Below are 638 nucleotides of genomic sequence, written 5' to 3'. Positions count from 1 at the left end.
AAACCAGGAAAACAAAAAAGGTAAATATAATAAATAATAACAAATTTTGTAATAGCCGTACTCCCTGAAAATGTATAATCCAACTCAGTGTGGGGTTAGAGATATCTTCTCATTACAGGAGGCATCTAAAATGAGACACACAAGATCACCATATATTAACTAGGAGAAAGAGAATGTGGTAGATTCTTAAAGCCTCATTAATAATATGTTTCACTGTTCTAGCATCTCATGCAACTAACTAACTGATCAGGTATGCCTAGCCTTGATAACTTCCATTTCCATCCTCTAATAAAGAAGACACACATATCAAACAACACAAGTCCAAGATTAAAGAAGTTGTTATTTGTAAAATATATATGCTTAGAGACACATGGAAATCACTGGACAAATTGAGTATTTTCAGACTGATTGGCATAGTTTCGATCTGGAACAGGATATTTGTTATTATTCCTAAGAGGTACATCCGCCAAGCCTGAGGAACAATTTCCTTGTAGAATTTATGTCAATATTTATTCATAACAAGTTTAAATTCACAACTAAACCCAGCATTTATAAAAGCAAATCATATCTCTACTTAGAGAGTGGTTGGGGTCCTAATCATAGCTGTGTAATAATGGTTGATGGGGATTGTCTCTGAA

General features: G+C 33.7%; 1 annotated feature.

Moving 5' to 3' along the window:
- Positions 260–429: an enhancer, noted in NCBI's record as "experimental_93689 CRE fragment used in MPRA reporter constructs". NCBI's record gives its function as "activates a minimal promoter by MPRAs in K562 erythroleukemia cells, with activity observed for both the introgressed and non-introgressed 6:66528107 variant alleles {active_cell/tissue: K562}" and the evidence as "EXISTENCE:reporter gene assay evidence [ECO:0000049][PMID:34662402]".

The sequence above is a fragment of the Homo sapiens genome, chromosome 6 (genome assembly GCF_000001405.40).
Source record: "Homo sapiens chromosome 6, GRCh38.p14 Primary Assembly".
In the NCBI taxonomy this organism is placed as follows: Eukaryota; Metazoa; Chordata; class Mammalia; order Primates; family Hominidae; genus Homo; species Homo sapiens.
Note: the sequence above shows the minus strand (reverse complement) of the source record. Positions and strands in the feature narration are given on the sequence as shown.